This window comes from Homo sapiens, chromosome 2 (genome assembly GCF_000001405.40).
Source record: "Homo sapiens chromosome 2, GRCh38.p14 Primary Assembly".
NCBI lineage: Eukaryota > Metazoa > Chordata > Mammalia > Primates > Hominidae > Homo > Homo sapiens.
Window position 1 is genome coordinate 120,653,007 of NC_000002.12, and position 23,466 is coordinate 120,676,472.

Sequence of the window (23,466 nt, forward strand, 5' to 3'; positions counted from 1 at the left end):
ATCTATTCAAATTTTTCTAGGTGCCACAGGATGAGAAGTGGTTTGCTGCTACCTACTACATTCTACCCTAAAGTGGAACCTGTCTAGATGCTTTATCTTCACTGTGATCTATCACAGAACTATCCTTATTTATGTAGGAGGTGGTGAAATGGGTGATGGTTGTCAAGACAATAACATAACTCAGCAGATGCTTTAGCTAGGTGAATAACTCTAGTGGAACTTCCAAACATTTTTTCCTTTCTCAATCATGCTATGGAATTATTGCCTTCCTCCCATACAGGGAAGTTTGCGTTTTAAGATTCTCGTGGCTCAATGTTTAACCCAACAAAACAATTGTCAATGGTAGTGTTTCAGCTATCTACAATGAGTTGAAGGGGGTAAAAGGTATTTGGGGGCATAGGGCCTTATTGTCATTCCTCAAGTCTTTCTCATTCAGTAACTACTGACTTCATCTATTCCTCAGGCTGGCTCAGGATCTGAAAGAACAGTAGAATAACTGATTGAAGGCGAGTGCATTTGGAGTCAGGTAGAACCTTGCTCTTAAACCCCCATGTTACCTAAGGAAGTTCTTCAACCTCCTTGAGTTTGGTTTGCTCAATGCCTACCTCCTAGGACTGTGGTGAGACTTACGTGAGATGTAAAGTTCCCCAAATACGGGAAACAGTATGTTGTCCTCATCGGTCTTCATTAGCCCTTCTTTTGGTCCTCTGCAAAATTAGGATGATGCCAACTTTACAGAATTGTTTTGGTACTGTAGTTAAATGAGACCATGGAGGTGAAGGGATTTTCAGATGTAAAATGCTGTGCAAAAAGAATATTCAGTGCCCATGTCAGTGGCGACTCTTGCGCTGACTGAGTCGCCAAATGACTGATCTCATGTGAAGGCCCATTCTGGCCAATTTTGTTCCTATGCCATCTTGGCTGTCAGTGCCACCCTAAATTCCACTGTGTCTCCGAAGAGCAGGTGAGTGCCATCTCCCTGGGACGTCATTTCCCTGGGATGCCTCCCTTGAGCAGACCAAGCCGGTACCTAGTGTGGCGGTACCTCCGTGCACCCTCCGGCTGTTGTCATCCCTCCAATCCCTAGGATAGGCGCACCACCCTATTAGGTGCCGGGGGGTGCAGTGCTTGAAATCACACACAAGAGCGATCAAATCATACTTCTGAATCGTGCTAGCTGTGTGATTGTGGGCAAGCCCATTAACTCTCGACCACCACGTTGCTCATCTATAAGCCGAGGGGATAATAATATCTGCTTTGCAAGGTTGTTGTAAGGGCTGAATGAAGTAACGGGAAATCTGGGGTACGTGGGAGATAGTAAATGGCAGCCGTCCCTGTGCGCCCCCTGACACCTCCCGCCCGGTCCTAGCCCTGTACTGGGTCAGTGTCAGCATCCTTCCACGCGTGCTCTCTCTCTGCCACCGCACACCCAAAGACCGCGCCTCTCGCTGCTCTCACCTGCGGGGCAGCGGAGGGCGCAGAGGTCAGGCAGCTGCGGGAGGGCTCGTGAGAGCCAATGAGAGCGCGGAAGGCGGCGAGCGAGCCAATGGACGCGGCGGTGGGGCAGGGGGCGGGGCCTGGGCGAGGCCGGGGGCGGAATGGGCTGAGTGCCCTGTCTGAATGCGGGGAACGTCTGGGCCTCCCCGCCTGGCCCGCTCTTTTACCGTCGCGCAGGCCCCGCTCCAGGCCAGCCACTGGCCCCACCAAGCCCCGCTTCGCAGCCCGAGAGAGCGGGAATAAATTAAGCTATTCTTAGTAGGGCCTGAAAAGGAGCCCTTTCTGACTACTAAGAAAACAAAGTTGCGTCCGTCTCTAGTTCTCAAACCCAAGCACAGTGATGTGGGTCGCCCGGTGCTGCAAGAGGTGGCCCGAGCAGCCGCCGGGTCGCTGGGGGCCCAAAGGAGCCTCCTGGCCAGGAGCCAGGTGCTCTTTGCTCTGCTAAGCTGTGGCGAAAAGAGAATCGGCTGGTTTGGGGCCAACCGGGGTGTTGGCAGGGGGGGGCTTCAGCCCTTCTCGGGCTCCGGACTCCCCAGCTCTCTCCCTGGCTATGCCCCTGCGCCGGCCTAAGAAGGGACCAGGAGGCAGGGCTGGCGCTGGCACTGCGGACGTCAGAACCTCGGCTGTAGTCACGCCCTTGCTCCAGCTTTTTCAGGGCCCATTCGCCCACCTCTGCCCCTCCTGTCCACCGCCCACCTTCTGGCCTCCTTTCTGCACCCAGCCCTTCCCCCACTCTGCTTCAGAACTCAGGATCTCCTCCCCTTCACTCTCCATCACTCACTCTGCGTTTCCTTTACGGGCTAATGCCAGTGTGCAATCATTCATTCATTCGTTTGTGGTCTACCAGCTAGGTGCCAGCTCCACCAGGGTGGCACCATGCAGCCTTGTTCACAGGTGTATACCCTGGAACATAGTAGACGCTCAGCAAATACCTGTTGAACGAATGAACAAATCCAAAATATGGCATTAGGTGCCCTAGACCCTTCTGGAACCATTCTTGTTGCTGAGTGATGAGTCTGACTAACAGCCTTATTCTCCATAGCCACCTGAAGGAAAATCCTCCTTGATGGGGGGATATATGAAGGTGGGGTCCTTCTACTAAATGCCAGCCTGGGTGAAGCTGTGGTCTAAACGTGCCTGTGTGGCTCTTGCACACACCTAAAAGGAAGACAAGCTCCTGCCAACATCTCAGACCTGGAGAATTTTCTAGAGCCATCATGGTCTAGATGCCCAGAAATTCCTGAATATTTTATTGATATTTTATTGAGTTAGAGAGTTCATGGTTATCAAATTCATAATCAAAATGGCTTTCCATGTTCCCCACACTGACGGTAACCTCTACAGAAATGCCATAAGGTAAGTAATTCATCTCATTGAAAAGGACTCTGAGGCCCAGGGAGACGAAGTGACTTACTCAAGCTCACGCAATGAAACCACAGCTCAGTGACCTGCTCTGTAGCAAGTTGCCCCTCACACCCACTAGCTAAGCCCATCCCATAGGGGCTGCACAACAGGCCCCAGACACAGCAATTAATCTGGGAATTGGATGTCGAAAAAAGAGTCTCTGGAAGATGAGATTGTGGATGGGGCAGTACACTTGACCCTAAGCATCACACTTTGGATTTGCTCATTTATTTGTTGAGCATCTGCTATGTGCCGGGGATACACCCATGAGCAAGACAGCGTGTCCCTACCCAGGCCTGGCAATGCTGACACTGATTGGGGAGTATACCATAAGCAAATGAATTCATAATTGCATATCGGGACGAGATCATGAAGGAAACTTGCAGAATAACAGAACAGAGTGACAGGGAGGGAGAGCTCCCCCATAGAGGGGTGTTCCAGAGGGACTCTCTGAGCAGGCGAAAGGACGGGGATCTAGAGGACAGGCCTAGTAAAGTACAGCACATTGCTCCTGAATTTCAGAATCACACGTGTGGAGCCCAGGGCCCTCTGCTCAGGGAGGAGAATCAGGAAAGGGCCCTATCCCAAGGCCCGGGTGTCTGCCGCTTCCCTACCACCTTCCCACAGCGCCCGGCACCGCCCCACACTTCCCCTGGGCTTCTTTATTTATTTTACCACATCTGAGGAGTTTTTAATGGGGGAAAGGGCCTAGGAATGGGGTTGTTTGAGGACAAGGAAACGAGCCACTTGCTGTGATGAATGTTCTTGAAAAGCAATTTATTTTTTCACGGGTAGCTCGCCGGGCTTGGGAACAAAAGTGCTTTGGCTGCCTATCAAATATGAACAGAGGCTAACTGTTTCTTCGGCATTTCTCTTTCCCCACACACGCTCACCCGCGCCTCTCCCTATGTATGACAGAAATGACATCGGGTTCAAGGGCTCCCTGGGGTCCCCTCCTAAGATAAAGTGGCAGCTGCTTTCATGGGGCCTGAGGCCCTCTCCCTCTCCCTTCTCTGCTTACTCGATTCCAAGCAGCAACGGCACTCGGAGGATATTCTCTCTCTCCTGGTGGGATGAGAAAGAGTGGGTGCCCTGGACATCAGAGGTCAGCTGGGATCCCTGAAAATGCCAATGCGGCCCACAGCAGCCAGGAGCCCCCTGCGCTCTCCCCACAGTTTAGCAAGAGAGGACATAAACCTGCACTTTTGCCCCTCATCTGCACCTGCATCCCCCACCACAGCCGCCATAGTCACATCTGCAGGCAGCTCTTCTCCCAGTGTTCTCAGTCTGTCTACCTGTGCCTCTTACCCATGCACAAACATTTCCCCCAAAGGTGGGCTCTCAGGCATCATGAGGCATCAGTGGATGGTGGTGACAGAGGGAACACTGATATTCCTACCAATCTGCTGAAAACGTGCATTTGTCAAATGATTGTGCTTGGCTGTCTGGGGGAGTCCTTTAAGTCCCTGGGAATTATGATGGCTAAAGCAAAACGAGGGATTTGGTTTTGAGCTAGGCCTGGAAGAATTATTGGGGAAAAATTACAGTGTCTGAAACTTACTATTACGAGAGTCTGAGTTTTAGCAGGAATTCCAGGGAGCCAGGAGTCTCCTGCTAGTGTGGGCCTGGCAAGGAAGACCAGGCCACTCCCTGCTTCCCTCTCCTGCTCACCTTCGAGCTGACTCCTGCTTTTAGATTTGCCAATCTAAAACTGATTTAATCTAGAGGGGCAAATCTAAAACTGCCCCTCTGACAACAAGGGGCAGTTGTCAGAAATAAGAGGCCAGCTTTGGATGACTCTCAGCCTGGACAGGAAAGCAGACATCCCTGCTTAATTCCATTAGAGATTTATTTGGAAATGTGACTTGCCTTCTGAGGCAGAGGGGTTTGGGTTTGCTCTTCTGAAAGGGTAGTGGCATTTTAAATCTCACTGTTTATGCAACAGAAGCCTTTATTCTCTATAAAAAGAACTTTAGACAAGTAGCAAGGGGTGGACTTCCATTAGCCCACTCTGAGGACCCCAGTTCTGGAGCTTGGACAATTCTTCATTGACTGAGACCCCCAAATCCAGCTTCTGACAGTGTTTACAGTGGAAGGGCATGTTCTCTTCCTTCTTTCCAGGATGGGGATAGCTAGATTCCAAAGATGGTCCTCCAAGGAGCTTAGTCTATTGGTATTCACTTTCGTAGTCCCCTCCCCTCCAATATGGATGGGCTCAACTTGTAATTAGCTTTGGACCAGCAGGATGTCATGGAAATGATGCTTGTGACTTCCAAAACTAAGTCGTAAAAAGCCTTGCAACTTCTGCCAGGGTCTCTTGGATCACACACTCTGGAGGAAGCCAGGCTATGTGAGAAGCCCAACTACTCCGCCTCCACCATGCTGTGAGGAAGTCTCCATAGCAAGGCCCCATGGAGAGTGCTGCCTGGCTAGACGCTAGCCCTCCCAGCCATCCCAGCTAGGGCACCAGACACGTGAGTGACAAGCCATGTGGGAAGACCTGCCCAGGTAAGGCTCAGGACTCCAGCTTCAGCCACAGTCTAACTGCAAACAAGTGAAAACCACTCAGCTGAGCCCAGTCAGTCCATGAAAGAGCAATAAATTGCTAATGTAAGCCACTAAGTTTGGGGGTGGAGGTGGTGTTGTAATGCAGTGATAGGAAATTAGAACAGAGGCCCTGGCACGAAAAGCAAGAGGTTTTCAAGGAGTTTCCTGCCCAACAGGCCAATAGTTTTGAGCAGCGGTTTCTAAACTTAGCTAAGGAATCCTTTGCCCACTGGAAATCATAATTAGATCTCTGATATGTCAAAGAAACAAAAGCACAGTGGCTCTCTTTTTGAAACAGTGGGAGGCCTGACCAAGCTCTCCTTTTGCCACGTGCCCCTGCAGCAGCCCCCGGGAAATGAATGAGCTCTCCACCTGATCTCCCAGATCTAACTCTCTCTCTCTCCCTCCCTAAAAAAATCACAGCAGACTTTGTTCATCCACACTCCCCTAATCCAGGGAGAATCCTGGCCACAGTGTGGAGTTGTGTCCCTAGCAGCCCTGAAAAGTTACATACTCTGAGGACCTTCCCTTCTTCAGTAGGTAAGCAAGGCCCTGGGTGGCCCCAGTACCCACATCCTCACTGATGGGCAACACCCTGCCTTCCTTCTCCAAAGGACAAAGGGTCATGGTTCAGCAAGCCCTCCTGGGATGCTAAAATAACTTTTCTGCCAAGAGACACTGTTATCAGCCTTTGCTTCTGGCCCCTTTCTGGTGGAGAAGGAAACTAGTATATATGAGGCCTGTTGTCCTATAATGTAAAAAGAGACCCAAAGAGGTTCAAGCTCTCAGTAAAACAAGAGTAGAGATTTCTCCAGCCCCAGTCCAAGCCTGTCTTCACAGCAGTATCAGCCACTGCATGCATGAAGATGGTGGCCATGGGCATGGGAGCAGGGATACACATCTCTCTTCCAAGGCCAGGCCATGCAGAACCCCAACTCTTCCCCTAAACCTTTCCAGGGCAGAGTGACCCAACGTGTTCCCTCCCTACCTGGGTTATCCTAGGTGATGTGGAGACTGACTTGCTCTAGGTGGGCTAGTGCCCAAGAGCCACAATCTCCCTGTGGAGACGGTATGTACTGCGTAGATCTTGTTTCCTTTTTGTCCTTATTGCCAAATCCCCCCAAAATTCTGTTTTGCTCATTGTGCTGCCTTCAGCCGAGGGAGAGCAAGGACTTGCATAATAAGCACTTGACTCTCCTCCAAAGCCAAGGTTTGTTCCAATGGCTTTGACTTTCAACCTCCTCACGTCTCCTTGAAAAGATGAACCGCACTTTTGTACCACAGGACATGCCAGGAATAGCTCACATCAAATGCTTTCGGGAGGGGTGCCTATGAGGAAGAGGCCGCAGGTCAGCCAGACAGCTCAAAGGTACCATTAAGATGATGGACGCCTTTTTCCTTGGTGCTTGGGCAGGCTGCTGAGCTTCATTACTCATCTCTTCCGCAGGGAGGTCACCATGCAAAGGGGGTGTCTTGTGCTCCTCTAGCCAGGATGCAAGCCCTGGGGACCACATTCACATCCTTGGGAACAGAGGATGTGGGAGCAGAACTTCAGATGCTCTAACTCAAAGGGAGCCTGGCCGCTCAGTGTGTCCCTGCCTGAAAGCAGGGCTCAGGCTAAATGAACACAGGCCCCTTCCAGGCCACTGTGGCAAGTCACAACCTCTCTCCCCACCACTATCACCTCTCCCCCATACCAGCAGATTCTTGACAGCCTGCAACTTCCTATCAAGGGAAAACCGCCAAAGGCAAAGCCAGATTTCTGACCAATTTTGAAATGCCTGAACAGGGAAGGCATAGTGGCTCATGTCTATAATCCCAGCATTTTAAGAGACTGGGGCAGGTGGATCATTTGAGGCCTGGAGTTCGGGACCAGCCTGGGCAACAGAGTGAGATTCCATCTCTATGAAAAATAAACAAAATTAGCTGGGCATGATGATGCGTGCCTGTGGTCCCAGCTATTCAGGAGAGAATCTCTGAGGTGGGAGAATCACCTGAGTCCCTACCCGGAGATCCAGGCTACAGTGAGCCAAGATTGCGTCACTGCACTCCAGCCTGGGCAACAAAGCAAGTCCCTGCCTTTAAAAAATGCCTAAACATAACACACAAACAATAGCAATAATAACAGCCACCAACAACACAGTCACTATAATGACCACGTGCTGTGTAGGGCACTTTACCCCACCTGCAAAGTACGTTTGGCCACCTCGTTTATCCAGAGTCTTGGAGAAGTTAAAAACCTTGCTATTTGGTTGGTAAGTGGCTGAGCTGGGATTAGAAACGACGCTTGTCTGGTTCCCAAGCCCACCATGCTCTTTCCATGAGCAACTCTGCCCATGTGATTCAGAGGGTCAGAGTTTGTTGTGACAGAAACAGAACCCAGAGGCTGGTTTCAAGGCCGGGGAGGAGCTGGGTCAGGCCTGAGCCAAATAACAGGGTGGGCCACCTCTGTGCCTCCCAGCTGGTGTTCCTTGGCGGGCCTCCAGGTTGGGGGCAGGGCCAGGCAGGGGTGGAGGGTTTGAAACTGGGCGTGTCCTCAGGAAGCACCCAGCCCCTCCTTCAGTGACCCTTCCGGGAGCGGGTTAGGAGCAGAGGACCTGCTGTGTTCCAGGGCTGTCTCCAAAATATCTTGGTATGCCTTAGAGGAAGCCCATGAGAAAGCCTCACCCATTTCATAGGTGGGGAAACAGAGGTTCAGCACGATCACAGGACCCCAAAAGATATGCAGATTCCATCCCAGATATGTTGGCTCCACGGACTGCGCCTTCTCCCTGTTGCCGCCCCTCTGTGTGGAAAGAGCCTGCCTTTGACCTCGGCTGGGCTGGTAGCCAGGGCTGGGTATCAGCTGCTTGGGGCACTGACCAAATAGGACTACATCCTATCTGCCTCATCGTATGGGATCACATCTGAGCAGTTGTTATCCAAAAGGACAACCAATAATTCTCTCATTATGCAGAAATGGGTTTGACTGCTGGGCTGGAAAATCCCCCCCTCCTTTGGTATATTAAACCCTTTCTTCTGAAATATTATAATTATCCCTGTTTACACAATCGACTAGCGTTGTAAGGTCTTTCTGTGTAAATACAGCAAAGATAAATTTCAGCCATACTCCCGCCTGAATTATTCAAAACCTGAAACGCTGAGGGGTCCGCAGCGCGAGTCGGCTTTGTGCCTTGAGTTGTGAGAGGAGGAATACATTACCCCTGACCTTCCCAAGAAGAACGTGATGGTCGAGCCACGCCCACTGGGAAACAGCCCAATGGGACAAGCCTTTCTCAGATCCAAGCCAGCTCTGCAGCGACCAAGGCTCCCTGCCAGAGCCTGGAGATGCGCTGCGTGCTGAGCGAGACAGGCACAGGAAAGAATTCGCTCCTGGTCTGTGCTAGGCATCCACAGTTTGCAGCTCAGTGCCACTCTCCACCCACCTTGTTCTCTGCCCCAGGACACAGACTTGTCTGGTCAGAACCAGCAGGCGCCCTGGCCCTCAGCCTCCCCGTTGGGTTTGGCCCTGGGAAGCCCCCGCAGGGATGGAAAGGAGAAGATTGATACTGGGGTCTTTATTTCCTTGGGGCCCTCTCCCAGCAGACCCCAAGGCTGGCAACTCTGTCCACACAGGTCGCCGCTCAACCACTCCCCAGCTTCTGGGTCTGGATCCGCATTGTACTGAATGAATCCTTTGGAATTTTCCTCTCCTCACTGACCGGACCTCCTTCTCTTCCCCTTCTGTCTCCATTTCACAAAATTGTTCACATGGTTCTGATAGATTAACAAAGAACTCTTTCTGCTTTTTAGACAAAGAATAAGGAAAATTGTCTACAGAAATAATTCACACAAAGGAAGTCAAGGCCATGTTGAAAACAGCACTTAAAGGAAAAAGTACAATTGACCAACAATTGAATCTTATTAGGCTGAGACCTGCACAATGTGACCAAAGGACATTGGACTTGGCATAAATAATGGCTAACACACACACACACTCATGCACAAACACTCTTAAACTCACATGCACACACCACGCATTCATGCACACACACAATGCATTCACATACACACTCTCAATAGCAGAAGCTATAATCAGTAAAATTATAAATGGGCAAAACCAATCTATGAACTAGTTGCAAAATTTTCTTATAAAAATTAAACAGAAAACTTACTTGATGAAAATCATTTCAATAAAATATCAAAAGAAAGCATAACAGAAAGGGTAATTGTACTGTACTAAAAACCCAGGATTAAATTAGCATGGGATTTGGTTTGAAAAACAGTTTCTTCACGAGAGTTCATCCGTGTTGACATCATCCTATTAAAATATAAATATTCAAGTGGTTTTAGGATCACAGCCTTGGCATCAAAGGAGCAGAACCAGAGGGAATATAGAGCACCTCATCTCGCCCCCAACTGTGCAGGCCAAGGAAGCCATGGGGCCCGCAGTGTCCTGCACTGCCACTTTCAGTCCCAAAACTCCACCTCAGCCCATTTCCTGCCTCCCAGCCTGTCTCCGATGCAGGCTGGGCCCCTGTATGTGACCTCCTGACTCATTTTCCCTTCTCAGCCTCCACTCAGCTTCAGCTTCCTCATATGCCAGAGTTCCCAGGACCTGTTGTCCCTCCTGTGAGTATGAATTGAGTTATCTCTCAGCCCATCATTGCCCACCTCCCCAGGCCCAGACAAGCCCCAGTGACCCCTAGGTGACCTTCGCCCAGGAAGCATGGTTTCATCAACTTCATCCCAGCAAGCAAAAAGGCCCCAGCCACTTAACACTGCCCCTAGAAACTTCCTGGACCTTCACACAAACACAATCCCCAGGTTCCATCTCAGACACCAAAGCTCTGAGGAAGGAGCCAGGCTGACTAATTAATTAGAACATCAACAATAACAAAGTGAATGTCTTGACTACCTGCCACTTGTCAAACGTTCTCAAGAGTATCACATATACAATTTCTTTTCTTTTTTTTTTTTTTGTTTTGTTTTTTTTTTGAGACGAAGTCTTACTCTTGTCGCCCAGGCTAGAGTACAGTGGCGCGATCTCGGCTCACTGCAACCTCCGCCTCCCAGGTTCAAGCAACTCTTCTGCCTCAGCCTCCCAAGTAGCTGGGATTACAGGTACCCGCCACCACGCCCTGCTAATTTTTGTATTTTTAGTAGAAATGAGGTTTCATCATGTTGGTCAGGCTGGTCTCAAACTCCTGACCTCAGGTGATCTGCCTGCCTTGGCTTCCCAAAGTGCTGGGATTACAGGTGTGAGCCACTGCACCCGGTCATGCCACATATACAATTTCTATATCTTGAATCAGTCCTGTAGAGCAGGCATTTCTCCTTCTTATGGAGTGACGACTGGGGCTCAGAAAGTTTGAACAACATCCAGTTACTCAGTTATTGAAAGGTAGAGGTGAAATTTGAACTCATATCTAACTGGATCCTGAAGTCCATTATGACCTCTACTCTAGTGATAGCAGACTCCCGCTGAGAACCACCAGTAAAGCTAGAAAAATGGAAAGTAAACATCTGTGGAGAAGGCTTTGGAGCACTCCCAAGCAGTGGGGAATTGTAGTTCCAAGATCTGGGAGTGCAGAGAAGCCCAGGGTGCTGTTTCCTGCATGTGGTTGCTTTTGTCCAGGAGCCCCTGAAGAAACTGAGGACAGAGATGAGAGGCTGACTTGGGCTTTCAGCAGATTCACAGGGATCTGGAACAAATATTGGAATTCAGGGCCCACTGGTAAATATAGTAGGCCTCCAGTTGAAACCCAAAAGGGCCATACCCTAAGAATAAGAGTGAACCAAATACATTTCCCACTCTCACTGAGTCTGAAGCCCAACATTAGATTGGATTCAGGTGATCTAGAATTGTGGGACCCCCCCCAGCCTAGTAGGTTGCTAGAATCAAGCATAAATCCTCTCTTAAAAATTATAACATCATCCAGGGGTTCAAATTAAACTAGAGTGTTTAAAATACAGTGTCTGGCATGCCATCAAAAATAATGAGGCATTTGAAAAGATCAGATGACATAAACAAAAACTAGGAGAAAAAACAGCCAATAGAAACAACAGACCCACAGAAGATCCAGATAGTGGAGTTAGCAGACGCAGGCTTTAAATTCCTGTTGCACATGCTCAAGGAAATGAAAGACAATATTAAATTTTCAGCAGAGAATAGAAACTATAAAAACTCCTAAAATAAAAAAAGGAAATTAAAAATCTGATGGATGCACATAAGAGCTAATTAGTCATAGCTGCAGAGAAGATTGGTGAAATGGAAAATACATCAGAAGAAAATATGCAGAGAAAAGCCCAGTGAAACAAAGAGATGGGGCAAATAGAAAAAAGCATGAGAGATATATGAGATATGGAGAAGATACAAGGCTTCTACCTGGAATCTGAGAAGATAAGAGGGAGAATGGAGCAGGAGCCCTATCTAAGGGGGAAGTGCTGAGAATTTTCCCAGGTATGTGCTCTTCCCATTTAATCCATTCCAAATAGTTCAAGCTTCTGGGTTCTTTTGTCTTTGCTTTCCCCATTCTATTTCCCATAATTTTTGTTCCTAATTGCCACTTTTACATGACAATTATGGTTCAGAGATTAGCCACATACAACACCAGTGAGACAAGAAGCAACATTTTGTGGGGGCTTCTGGGAACTTGGAAGGGATGATATCATCTTCCCTGGGGAGTGGAATGTGAGGTCTGGAACTGCAGCAGCTATTTTCTGAGCATAAAAGAGTAGCCTTGGGAGGAAGGTGACACCATAAAAGAGAGAGAAAGTGGGTCCTGCTCTCATTAGATCATCCAATTAAGGCATGCCCTGAAGCCAATGATAGCCCCCCCACCAACCACCACCACCACTACACACACACACACACACACACACAGACACACACACACACGTACACAACTTTTTTGACTATTGGGACAATAAAACTCTTAAGCAAGTTTGAATTCGTTTGTGGTCACTTGCAACCAAAACAACCCCAAGTAATACAAAATCTTGGAAATAAAATTGCCTTCCAGAAAATTTGCAACAATCTATAATCTACCCTACAGTGACCACTCCCCTACAAAGACCTCTTTACTCTCTCCAACATTCCATATTTTCATTTACAAATTGATTGAAAGGCAAAACAGTACAATTTTATGTTTAGTTTTAATTCACCTATTTTTATTTCCAGTGAGACTGAATTTTTAATGAATTTTTTAACATTGAATTTCCTCTCTTATGTTGTTTTACTATGGCAGTGATTTACTAAGATGTTAGTTTTCCATTTCTTTGTTTGCTTCCTTTGTTCAATTTAATTCAAATAAATAAGCAGGTTTTTTTAAAAGACAAACCTAACCAGACTGTGGGCCAGGCACTGTGCTACATGGGGCGGGAGCCGTAGAAACGAATGGGACAGGCTTCACTCCTGGAGAGCCTGACCTGTAGTAATGGTGAGAAGACAAAGAGGCAAAAATTGGGCCCAAAACTCTGATACAGGCATGAAGGAAGAGATACGAGGCTGCATTCGTGAGAACTCTAGGAGATTTTATCTGGAATTATTTCCATCATCTAATTTTGTGATTTCTTTATATGTCCTTTTCCATTGCTCATTTTTTTTCTTTCTTTGTCTTCATCGTATTGATTAAGTTCCCTTTGTTCCTTTCTGTTTCCCCGTTCCACTTGTTTGAAAGTTATACCTTCTATTTCTATTCTGTAGTGCAAACTCCTACATTTTAGCATGCATATCTAAGGCTAATCAACATCTCTATCCTGCAGCCAAGTGATAAATGGGCTTTACAATTATTCAACTTTAATCAATCATTTAACATTTTTCATGTTATTCCCACATAGCATTTCACTTTCACCTGACTTTTAACTGTCCCCATAAATTGGTATTTTTTAAAACAATAAATGCTTACTTAGACTTACCAACATGCTGACTCATTTCTTTGCTTACTTTGCCACCTTCATCATATTCCTTCTTTCTGGATTCAGCTTTCTTCTTACTGAAGAAAATCCTTTTCTAATTCTCCAGTGAGAGGTTATGAGTATAAATCCATTCAATCTTTGTTTCAAAACTGTCTATTTCATCCTCATTCTTGAATGATTGTTTAGTGGACATCAGTGCTTTTCAGTCAAATCTTTAGTTCTGTGATGATCTTATCCCATTGTCTCCTGGCATCAGTTGTTGCTGCTGAGAGGTCTGCTGTCAGCTTAATTATCATTCCTTTTTCATCGGTCTGTCTCTTCATTCGCTCTGTCTGCTGTGTTTGCAGTTTTATAATGACGTGTCTATGTGTTGTTTATATTTCACCTGCTTGGAACTTGATGTGCTTATTTGACCTTTTTCCCCTACTCCCTCATTCTGGAGAGAATATGCATCTGAACCATCTCACTCTGTCCACCAGTCTCTTCACATCACTGCCACATTTTCCTTAACTTTGTGTTTTGCAGTTTTTTTCAAATCTACCAACCAACTCCCCACTTCTGTCTTCGGCTATACTAAACCATCTCTTTAACTGATCTATTGAGTTGTTAATGTTATTTTTTTTGTTTGTTTCTTGAAATCTGATTATTGTTCACGTTTGTCTTTTATGATTCTTTTCTTAGTTTATCTTTTTAATGTTTTAATCATATTTATTTTATGATTTCTCTTTTTCATTGTTAAATTCTAGATTGTTCAATCATTTCTAGTTCTTGGAATAAGAGTCCTCTTTTTGTTGACTCTATTCAAGATTGTTTTAATTGTAAGGAACAGAAAAGCCCACATAAACAGACCTAAGAAAAGGTGAATTAATTGTCTTAATGACCGAAAAGTCCAGAGTTGTAGTTACAGTTAGTCCATTTGATTCAGGACCAAAACCCAGGGCCTAATTTCTCTGTTTCTCGACCTCCTGGATCCACTTCTTCTGTGCTGGCTCTGTTCTCAGATAGATGACTCCTCATGGTGACAAAACAGCTGCAGAAGCAGAGATTCCGCCATCCTCCCAGGTTCAAATATGGCCAGCAAGAGAATCTTCTTTCTTTTTTTTTCCTTTTTTTCTTTTTTTTTTTTTTTTGAGATGGAGCCTCGCTCTGTCGCCCAGTCTGGAGTGCAGTGGCACGATCTCGGCTCACTGCAAGCTCCACCTCTCGGGTTCACACCATTCTCCTGCCTCAGCCTCCTGAGTAGCTGGGACTACAGGCATCCGCCACCATGCCCGGCTAATTTTTTTTTTTTTTTGCATTTTTAGTAAAAATGGGGTTTCACTCTGTTAGTCAGGATGGTCTCGATCTCCTGACCTTGTGATCCGCCCCCCTCGGCCTCCCAAAGTGCTGGGATTACAGGCATGAGCCACCGCACCGGGCTGAGAATCTTCTTTCTAATAGTTCCTTTAAACATCCTGAGATCAACTCTGTTTAGTGTAGTTTAGATCACATGCCCATCTCTGCACCAATGACTGTAGTCATGGGAATGAGATATGCTAGTTGGCCTTACCTGTGGTGGAGCCCCATCAGTCTGCTTGGTATGGAGGAGTGGGATCACCAAATGGGCCATTGGAAGAGGAAAGAACAACAGATGCTAGGGAAGTTTTATTTGATTCATGAGGTCCCCCCCTACACCCTGTCCCCTTACATACCTGCCTGCACATACACCAAGATGACTGCTCCCCAACAGCTCCATCGATGAGCAAACCTGGCCCAGAAAGTTCCTTTCCTAGAGGTTCCCACTACAGCCCTGGGGCTAATTCTTTCTGACTAGATTTCCTTAAACTCAACATGGTCACTCTCCCTGGCCATGCCTGAGTCATGTTGCTTCTTTGGAGCCAGGGGGCAGGGTCAATCTTATAGAGCCACGCAGTCTGAGAGTTGAGGAGGGATAGTCCCTAAGGAAGAAGAAGTGCTTACACCAGATGAGGGAGATGGATACTGTCAAGCAGAAAAACTTGCTGTCCTTTTCAAAAGGGAACCCACCTCTTCCTGAAAGCCTGTCTCTTCCTATTGGGCAGCCCAGCCTGCCAAGCCTTGATCAGCCTCCTTGTGCCTCCCATTCAGAATCTCTCCATGCCATGGACATTTCATGGTCTCTCTGGTATCTCCTATCACAGATTTATTTGGAAACCTTTCTCTGATTTCCAGCGTGTACCATTTTCTAGAGTAGTGAGCTCCAAAATGGGTCATGCACTCTCTAAAATAGTGCTTTGTTATTTACTGGCCATAATTAGTTCTCATCAGTACCTCTTTGGGAATCCCTGGTCTAGAAATGATGGATTCCATATTTCTCTGATAAAATGACTTCCTAATTCTTGACCTCAGGCATGCCCCTCCTTTCCAGAGAGAAGCCCATCATTTGAGTCTGTTCTCAAGACACAGACCATCCTCCCATGACTACCTACCCTTGGCCAGTCCCTGCTGTAGCCCGACTTCTCACTGTGTTGTCACACAGACCCTGTCACTTAGAAGCTGTGGGACTTTTAGTGAGTTACTGAGATTCTCTGAGACTCAGTTTCTTCACCTGCAAGATCAAGATAATAATGTTCATCTCCCAAGATCAGGAGGAGGAACTACTAATGGAACCATGGAAAGGAACCTCAGGCATGGCACCTGGTTCAGAGGTAGTCCTCCAAATGTGCACCCTCCCTTCCCTCCTCTTGCTCGCAGCTCCTAGCTCAAGGTACTCTTGGTCACTCTTCCTTGGCCTCTGGCCTGCCTTTGACAGCTGGTAACTGACCAGTCCTTAGGCTCTGGTCCTCAGCAGCCACATGCCTTTGCCGTGATATAACTTTTCATCTGAGCCTTGATTCCTGACACATGGCACCTGCTGCCCCCACCCTGAGATCCACCATCGGCCCCTCCCCTCCTGTGATTCCTGCCACAAACTCCAGGCATGGGTGTGGCCCTATTGGAATGTGCTGGGGGAGAAGCAGGAGGCGGGGACAGGTGACACAGAGGAGGTGATGAAGGTCACACCAAGAGAGGTCCCTGGTGGTTCTTTTTACCTTGAGAGAACATCTGTGGCTTCCATGTTGTCACAAAACAAACAGAAGTGAGTCTGAAGTTTCCCAATCCCCGTAGCTGGTTTCATGGCTCTTTGACAGTCCTTTCATGTCCCTGACAGTGGTGAGCTTTTTCCCCTGGGAAGTTAGGGGGCCTCTGTTGCACCCCCGCGGCCCACCTCGCCCTGGTGACGTTATCCTGGCACTCCCAGGCTGATGACACTTAGCTGTCACCTTTCATGCATGAGCAGCTGTTGCCGCCTGTGTTTCCAGGTGGCCGAGCCCAGTCCCTGTGCCTCCCCTTCCTGCCACATGGGGGACCCTCCGACGGGCTGACTCACCCGGTTCTGCTGCCCACGGAGGGCTTCCCGCTCTGCCTTTCTTGGGCAACCTTCCCAGTTTTCGACGAATGCCTTCCGCTCACAACAGCCCTTTCCTGGGGCGTGTAGGGAACCGGGAGTGGGGTGAGGGCGGGTTCACCCTTCTGCTCAGGTTTGAGTGGCAGCCTGCAGGCGCCCAGGTCTGCGCAGAGATCTCAGACTGTCCATCAGTTCCAGGGCTATTTATGTTTCTGACATTCATTTCTTCCTGCTCCCTTCACCTCCCCCCTCCCACATCTCCTCTTTGACAAAGCTGTGATCAGCCCCACAGCAGAGGCCGTGTGTTTCTTGACCTGGCTTTCCCGTGCTGGGAGCTGGGCTTGCATCGAACCCCTCCTGCTCCCTCAGCGGCTGCGGCCCTTCCCGTCCTCCTGCTCACAGAGCGCACGAGAACCAGGGAAAGCTGTGTGGCTAGAAAGAGCCCCCTCTCACAGCTGCAGACTGCAGAGTTGTCAAGCCTCAGGCAGCTCCGCCCTTCCTTGAGCCTCAGTTTCCTCATCTGGAGAGTGAAGACAACCATCCGCATCCTGCAGCACGGCAGTGACAGTTCTGTGAGAAAAGGTGCCCAGAGTGACGTCTAGCTGCACACCGTTATTACACTACAGGATAAAACGGCTGCCATTACCACATGCTCACCATGTCCCGGGCCACGGGGCACAGATCGACTCATTCAATCCTCACTGCAAGCCATGAGGAAGATCTCACAAGAGGCCCAGGCAACAATGAGGAAATTGATGCGCCGAGAGATCAAGTGACTTTCACAAGGTCACACAGCTGGTCAGCGGCAGAGCTGGCTGTCATCCCGGCATGTGTCCCTCCTCCCTCCAGGAAGAAGCCACCCCAATCCTCCAAGGATGTTCCTTTTCCATCTTGAGGGTATCTGGCCTCCAGAGACTCCTCACTACCTCGGGGCCATTGCTTGGTTTCCCTGGCCCCCATCACCCCAGCCTCCAGCTCCGACGGTCACACTGACTCCGGGAGTTTGTCCAGGGTGAGCACTACTCCTCATACCGCTCTGAGTGCCTCTTCCATGGGGAGGCCAGTGGCTCAGGTCTTCTGCCCTCTGTTGATCAGGAGGCTGAGTTTTTCAGAAGGTCTCCCAGTCAGGTCTGGGACAGGAGCCAAACAGTGGCTCTCGGCCCTCTCCTTCCCCAGACAGGGCTCTGGAATTGGGCGCCACCCCAGCAGCCAGCGAGGGGCTGCCATGCCTGTCCCTGGGCTGGCCCTGAGCCTACAGGTGCTCTCTGGGGGCAGGGGGAGGAGGGCAGGGCCTCGAGAGCCGCAGGCAGAGCCTGGGAAGAAGGTGTCTGTTGTTTCCTTCTTCATCTCTGGGAACAATTCGCCTTTTGAGCTTCTTGGCTGAGCGAGTTGAGAGATTCTTTCTCCAAGGCTTCTTGACAGATTGATTTATCTGTTTCAGTAACTTGGACTTCCTGAGAAAGGGTGGCTTCATGCCAGGGCAGGCGTGGGCACCAACCTGGGGGACGAATGTGGGGCCTCCTCCGAGGATGGCCTTGGACCTCAGGCTGAGGTGTGGACCCCAGGTCCCTGTCCCCTGGCTGGAGACCGAGCGGGTGAGAAGGATTGCCAGCAGGAGCTGCAGATACCCACAGCCAGGCAGTCATTCACCCCATCCTCCCGGCCCCGCTGCTCCCCAAGCGGCTCTTCCTGGACCCATCTTGTGGCTGGGAAAGTTGAGTCACTGAGAAGCGACTGCCCTACCGCAGTAGGCAAGAAGCTGAGATCAGACTTGAACTCAGGGTTCTGAGGCCTCCACATCTATCCTCACCTACCTAAAGAAAGAAGTTTGACCCTCAAACCCCAAGTTGCTAGAGGGCCTGGGCTGAGAAGGCCACAGCTAGCAACTCTCCCCGGGCTCCTCCTGCTTCCCAGAAGGAAGGCCTGCTTCCTGCCTCTGCTGTCTGCCTGCAATGCCTCACAGCCCATGGCTCGCCTCTGTTGCAGCACACTCGCCTGCCTTCCCATCATTCTGCCCACTCCTCCAGGCAGGGCGCCCAGGGCTTGGCACTGAGTAGGGGGCTCAGTTGAGAAGGGAAGGGAGGGAGGAAAGAAGGAAGTGAGGCAGGGAGAGAGGGAGGTGAGGGGAGGGTCCTCACACCCTGTGGGTGATGCCCCAGGGGCCCTAGGGCCATTATGAAGCCCCTAAGGCAAGCTGTGCTTTAAGAATTCAAGAGTCTGGGCTGGGCGCGGTGGTTCACGCCTGTAATCCCAGCACTTTGGGAGGTTGAGGCAGGCGGATCACCTGAGGTCGGGAGTTCAAGACCAGCCTGACCAACATGGAGAAACAGCGTCTCTACTAAAAAATACAAAATTAGCCAGGCGTGGTGGCGCATGCCTGTAATCCCAGCTATTCGGGAGGCTGAGGCGGGAGAATCGCTTGAACCCAGGAGGCAGAGGTTGCAGTGAGCTGAGATCGTGCCATTGTACTCCAGCCTGGGGAACAAGAGCGAAACTCTGTCTTAAAAAATAATTTAAAAATAATAAAAAAAATAAAAAGAATTCAAGTGGCTGGATCACAGCTCACTGCAAGCTTGAATTCCTGGGCTCAAGCGATTCTCCCCCCTCCACACACACACACACCTCCATCCCCCTACCCTCCCACACCCTGCTCTGCTGCACTGCACTACCTCCCCACCCCCCAGCACCCCACCACCCCTCCCACTCCCATGCCACCTCAGCCTCCTGAGTAGCTGGGACTACCAGTGTGCCACCACGCCCAGCTAATTCTTAAATTTTTTTTTGTAGAGATGAGGTCTCACTATGTTGCCCAGGCTGGTCTCAAACTCCTGGCCTCAAGACAGCCTCCCACCTGGGCCTGGTAAAAGCGTGATTATAGGCGTGAGCCACCTCGCCCAGCCATTAACCATTTTTAAGTGCACCGTTCAGAGGCATTAAGCACATTAGCACTGTTGAGCAACCATCACCACCACCCATCCACAAAACCCTTCATCTTGCAAAACTAAAACCCTGTGCCCATTAAACACTAACTCCCCTCCCTGCAACCCCTGGCAACTGCCATTCTACTTCCCGGCTGTGCATTTGACTACTCCAGGTGCCTCATGTGAGTGGAATCATGCAGGCCATGCCTTTTGTGTCTGGCTTATTTCACTCAGCACGATGTCCTTGAGGTTCATCCGGGTTGCAGCGTGCGTGAGCATCCCTTGCTCTCCAGGGCCAGCGCTCCACTCTGGGCGCTTTCCACGAGCTGCCCTCGCACGGCCCTCTGCATGATGCCCACGTTGTCAGGCAGTGCCCTGCCCTCCAAGTTGAGCCCCCAAGACCAGCCCACCCCCATCTGTCTGGCCCCAGTGTTGCCCACCCATGCCTGCCTTTCTCTGCAGAAGGGAGGCTGCTCAGGGCCAGGCCCTCCTGCTCCCTTGGCCCTCGGGGTTCCAGGGGGAGAGAGTGGTGGCTGTTTCAGGTCACCCACAGCCATGCTCTGCCTGCTGGTCTCCTTTCCCTTGATGCTGCTGCCCCCAGGACCTTGAGTAGCACGTTGGTGCCCTGATGCTTATCTTCTTGGGGACGCGCGCGTGGGAGGAGGACTCAAGGAGAGGGCAGATGGGTGTTGCGAGGGATCAGTCTCTAAAGGCAGAACTTCAGGAGTGCATGTCAGCCAGTGCAGGGCTCCTGGACCATGCCCTAGCGTCCTGCGTGGTGTGGCTGCCTCCAGCTGAACCTCTCCCCACATCACCACGCTGCTCCTGTCACTGAAGGCAGCCCCAGGTGCTTGGGGCAGCACTGACCTCACATCCAGTGGAGGGGCTCAGGTCCTTGCCTGCCATTTGCTGACTGCCAGGACTTGGCAAGCCCCTCCCAGAACCTCGGTCCCCCATCCCTCGAACAGACCAAGCCCTCACCCACAGGGTGGCTGTGCGGATGAGCCAGCAGGCGTCTGGCTGGGCCGGGCCAGCCAGTGCTAGGCAGACGCCTGTCCAGGGCACCCGAGCCTTCCGCTGCCCAGCTGCCTGGCTCCTCTGGCCCAGGGCGAGTAGAGAAGCCCTATGCCTCAGCAGAAGGAGAGAGAGCATAGAGCAGCACCCACAGAACCCTGCAGGAGGAGTCCCTGAAAGCCAGCTCCCAGAGCTGTGAGGACTGTATGCATCCCAGGCTGGCGGCCCCTCCCCTGGCCGTGGAATCCAGGCCCACTCCGGTGACAGGTTGACAGTCAGTCCTCTGGCTTCCACATGTGCCCATTTGCAGCTGTCCCCAGACGTCACTGCAGGCAGAGCAGTAGCACAGCCTCATACAGCATTTTCACCACAGACCCAGCAGCAGACGTCGCTGTAAGAGCACAGACGATGCAGAAAGGCAACCAGGAAGGACAGGGAGTGGAATATTCACTACCTTTGTTTTTAATACAATTTATTTAATCATCAGTTTGTAGAATTTAATTTGTAACAATGGCTGTCAGCATTCCTAAACGTTTAATGACGGTCAGTATTAGTGACCACCAGCACACCACTGTCTCAGCCCCTGACCAGGGTTCTCTGGCCAGCACATGGGCATGGAGGGCAGCTGCTGGGGGGACAGGCAGTCCCTGACTCCCCAGGTGTGTGGCGGGCCAGACCCAGGGCCTCTGGCAGCTCAGACCTGCTTTCAACTTCACCCTCCTACAGCCTGTCCTGCAGACACCACTGATGTCCCCACTGCACAGATGAGAACCCTGAGACTCAGAGATGGGCACCACCTGCACAGGCCCCAGAGCCGGTGCTCTGGAAGGACAAGGCTCCCGTCCTCAGGCCCTGGGCTTGGGCGGTGTCATGGGTAGGTCTTGCTGACATCTTAGGGGCCATCAGAGAGCCCAGCCTGAGCAGCGCCTAGCACAGCCCTGGCTATCCAGAGAGCAGCCCAGACCCCAGGCCCCACGTGGCAGGGATGGAGATGTGAGGGTGGAGACGGCCATGGGGGATTACTCCTTCCCCCTGTTCAGCCCACTCTCCAGGCAGCCTCTGTGTGGCACCTCTCATGCTGATTTCCACAGAGGGCGAGGCTGTGCCGGCCAGAAACGTGGGTCTAGGATGCTTGGCAGATGCATTCCCTGTTGTAATTCATGGAATTCTGGAAGCCCTTGGGCCAGCAGGTGACACGGTGCCTTCCTCCAGGGCGCCTGCAACACTCACCTTGACCGATGGTTTTCCCTTGCGACCTGTCTGGCCCTGCCTTCACAGGGTGTCCAAAGGAGTCAGGCACCAGCACCCCCTCGAGAGAGGGCCACCACGTGTCAGAGGCTGGCATGCACCGTGGAGAAAAATGAGATGAGAATGAAGTTGGGGGTGTGAGGACTGCATGTTCAGTGATATCGTGTGATCAAAGGAGATGCCTGCGACCATTTAAAAAGGGGACTTCCCGCTTCTGATAGGACCCGGGACCATTCAGGGGGTTTCATTCTTATTAAATATTTTTGCCTTTTTCATAAAAGGCACTCGCCCACAGAGGGGTCTGTAAAAAAATCAATTCTGTCCGGGCTGCTAAGTGTAAGACGACCCCCTTACTGTCCTTTAAAAGCAAGGAGCTTCTCTTTATCACATATAGTCAGGCCCTGACTCACTTCCCAAGCCCAGTCTGAACCAGGCCAGGCATGGGGGAAGCCGGCGGGTGCAGGGGAGTGGAGGGAAAGGGGAGAGCCGGCCCCAGGAACCTGGTGACAGTGGGGACGGCCGCCCTCAGTCATGCCCGCTCCTTCCCTGGGCCCACGTGACCATCCTTCTCTGTGAGCTCGAGGACACCCCGTCAGCCCCACGGGGTGCGGCTTACCAAGAAGGGGGTGGACACCCCTGCGTGGCAGGCACCGGCCTGTCCCTGCTGCCATACCCAGGTAATGACCGAGACAAGAATAGTCTCGGTAGAAGGGAGGGAGGCCGCCAGACAGCCCAGCCGAGGCCAGAGCCGGTTCTTGGGGAGTAACACCCCCCTCTACCGGCCACCTCGGACTTTACAGGCAGGAATTGCAGAATCCGTTGCATTTTCACAACAATAACTGAGACGTGCAAACCTCTCCTCCAGCTCCCGCAGATTGGAAAGGATGAAAGCGAGGATGGCCTGACCCACCCGCTTTAAGGAATTAGAAACTCAGTGTAAATCCCCAGGGGCATGTCGACACCCCAAAGTTCATCAGGAGGAAAGGAACCCCCATTTTAGACAAAGAGGCCAGAGCTTGTGCAGAGGGAGTGGCCCAGAGGTCGACAGTATCTGGGAGCATGCTTAGCCGGGCCCTGTGGACACACATTTGGACCTACGCAAAAGTTATCTTTGCTTTGCCAAGGATCTCTTTAAATTCTGAGTCTTTTCCCAAGAAAGCAAACTTGACTCCGACCAAGCCTCCAAATCCAATGACCCGTTAAAGAAAAGACAGGGCAGGGGGATGGGTGACGCTCCACTTTGCAGGTTCAATCAGCAAAGTCCCAATGGTAGGAAGCTCCACAGGACAGACTGCCAGTTTCTCCAACAACTCAGTGACACAGGGGAAATGGAAGCGTGGAGGGGAATATTTGGATTAGAAGAGACTTTAGGGTGGAGTGATTCCTAGATTATATCGTTAAATACAAAAGCAAAGTGCTAAAGAATATCTGTAACATGCTACTTTTCATCGAAGGAAGAGGGGAAGGAAAATAAAATATACGAAACCTGTTCTTTTGTGAAGAAGAAACAGAGGAAGGATAAATCAGAAA

The 23,466-nt window shown here is 50.4% G+C and overlaps 5 annotated features.

Moving 5' to 3' along the window:
- Window positions 1,923-2,423: an enhancer, noted in NCBI's record as "H3K4me1 hESC enhancer chr2:121412505-121413005 (GRCh37/hg19 assembly coordinates)". NCBI's record gives its function as "activates a minimal SCP1, AML or CMV promoter by ChIP-STARR-seq in primed H9 embryonic stem cells {active_cell/tissue: H9 hESC(primed)}" and the evidence as "EXISTENCE:reporter gene assay evidence [ECO:0000049][PMID:30033119]".
- Window positions 8,427-9,375: an enhancer, noted in NCBI's record as "H3K4me1 hESC enhancer chr2:121419009-121419957 (GRCh37/hg19 assembly coordinates)". NCBI's record gives its function as "activates a minimal SCP1, AML or CMV promoter by ChIP-STARR-seq in primed H9 embryonic stem cells {active_cell/tissue: H9 hESC(primed)}" and the evidence as "EXISTENCE:reporter gene assay evidence [ECO:0000049][PMID:30033119]".
- Window positions 15,989-17,188: an enhancer, noted in NCBI's record as "MED14-independent group 3 enhancer chr2:121426571-121427770 (GRCh37/hg19 assembly coordinates)". NCBI's record gives its function as "activates an origin of replication core promoter dependent on BRD2, BRD4, P300/CBP and CDK7 cofactors, and independent of MED14, by STARR-seq in HCT116 cells {active_cell/tissue: HCT116}" and the evidence as "EXISTENCE:reporter gene assay evidence [ECO:0000049][PMID:35650434]".
- Window positions 16,339-16,840: an enhancer, noted in NCBI's record as "H3K4me1 hESC enhancer chr2:121426921-121427422 (GRCh37/hg19 assembly coordinates)". NCBI's record gives its function as "activates a minimal SCP1, AML or CMV promoter by ChIP-STARR-seq in naive H9 embryonic stem cells {active_cell/tissue: H9 hESC(naive)}" and the evidence as "EXISTENCE:reporter gene assay evidence [ECO:0000049][PMID:30033119]".
- Window positions 16,607-16,901: a silencer, noted in NCBI's record as "tiled region #7764; HepG2 Repressive non-DNase unmatched - State 4:PromP". NCBI's record gives its function as "represses a minimal TATA promoter and a strong SV40 promoter by Sharpr-MPRA in HepG2 cells {active_cell/tissue: HepG2}" and the evidence as "EXISTENCE:reporter gene assay evidence [ECO:0000049][PMID:27701403]".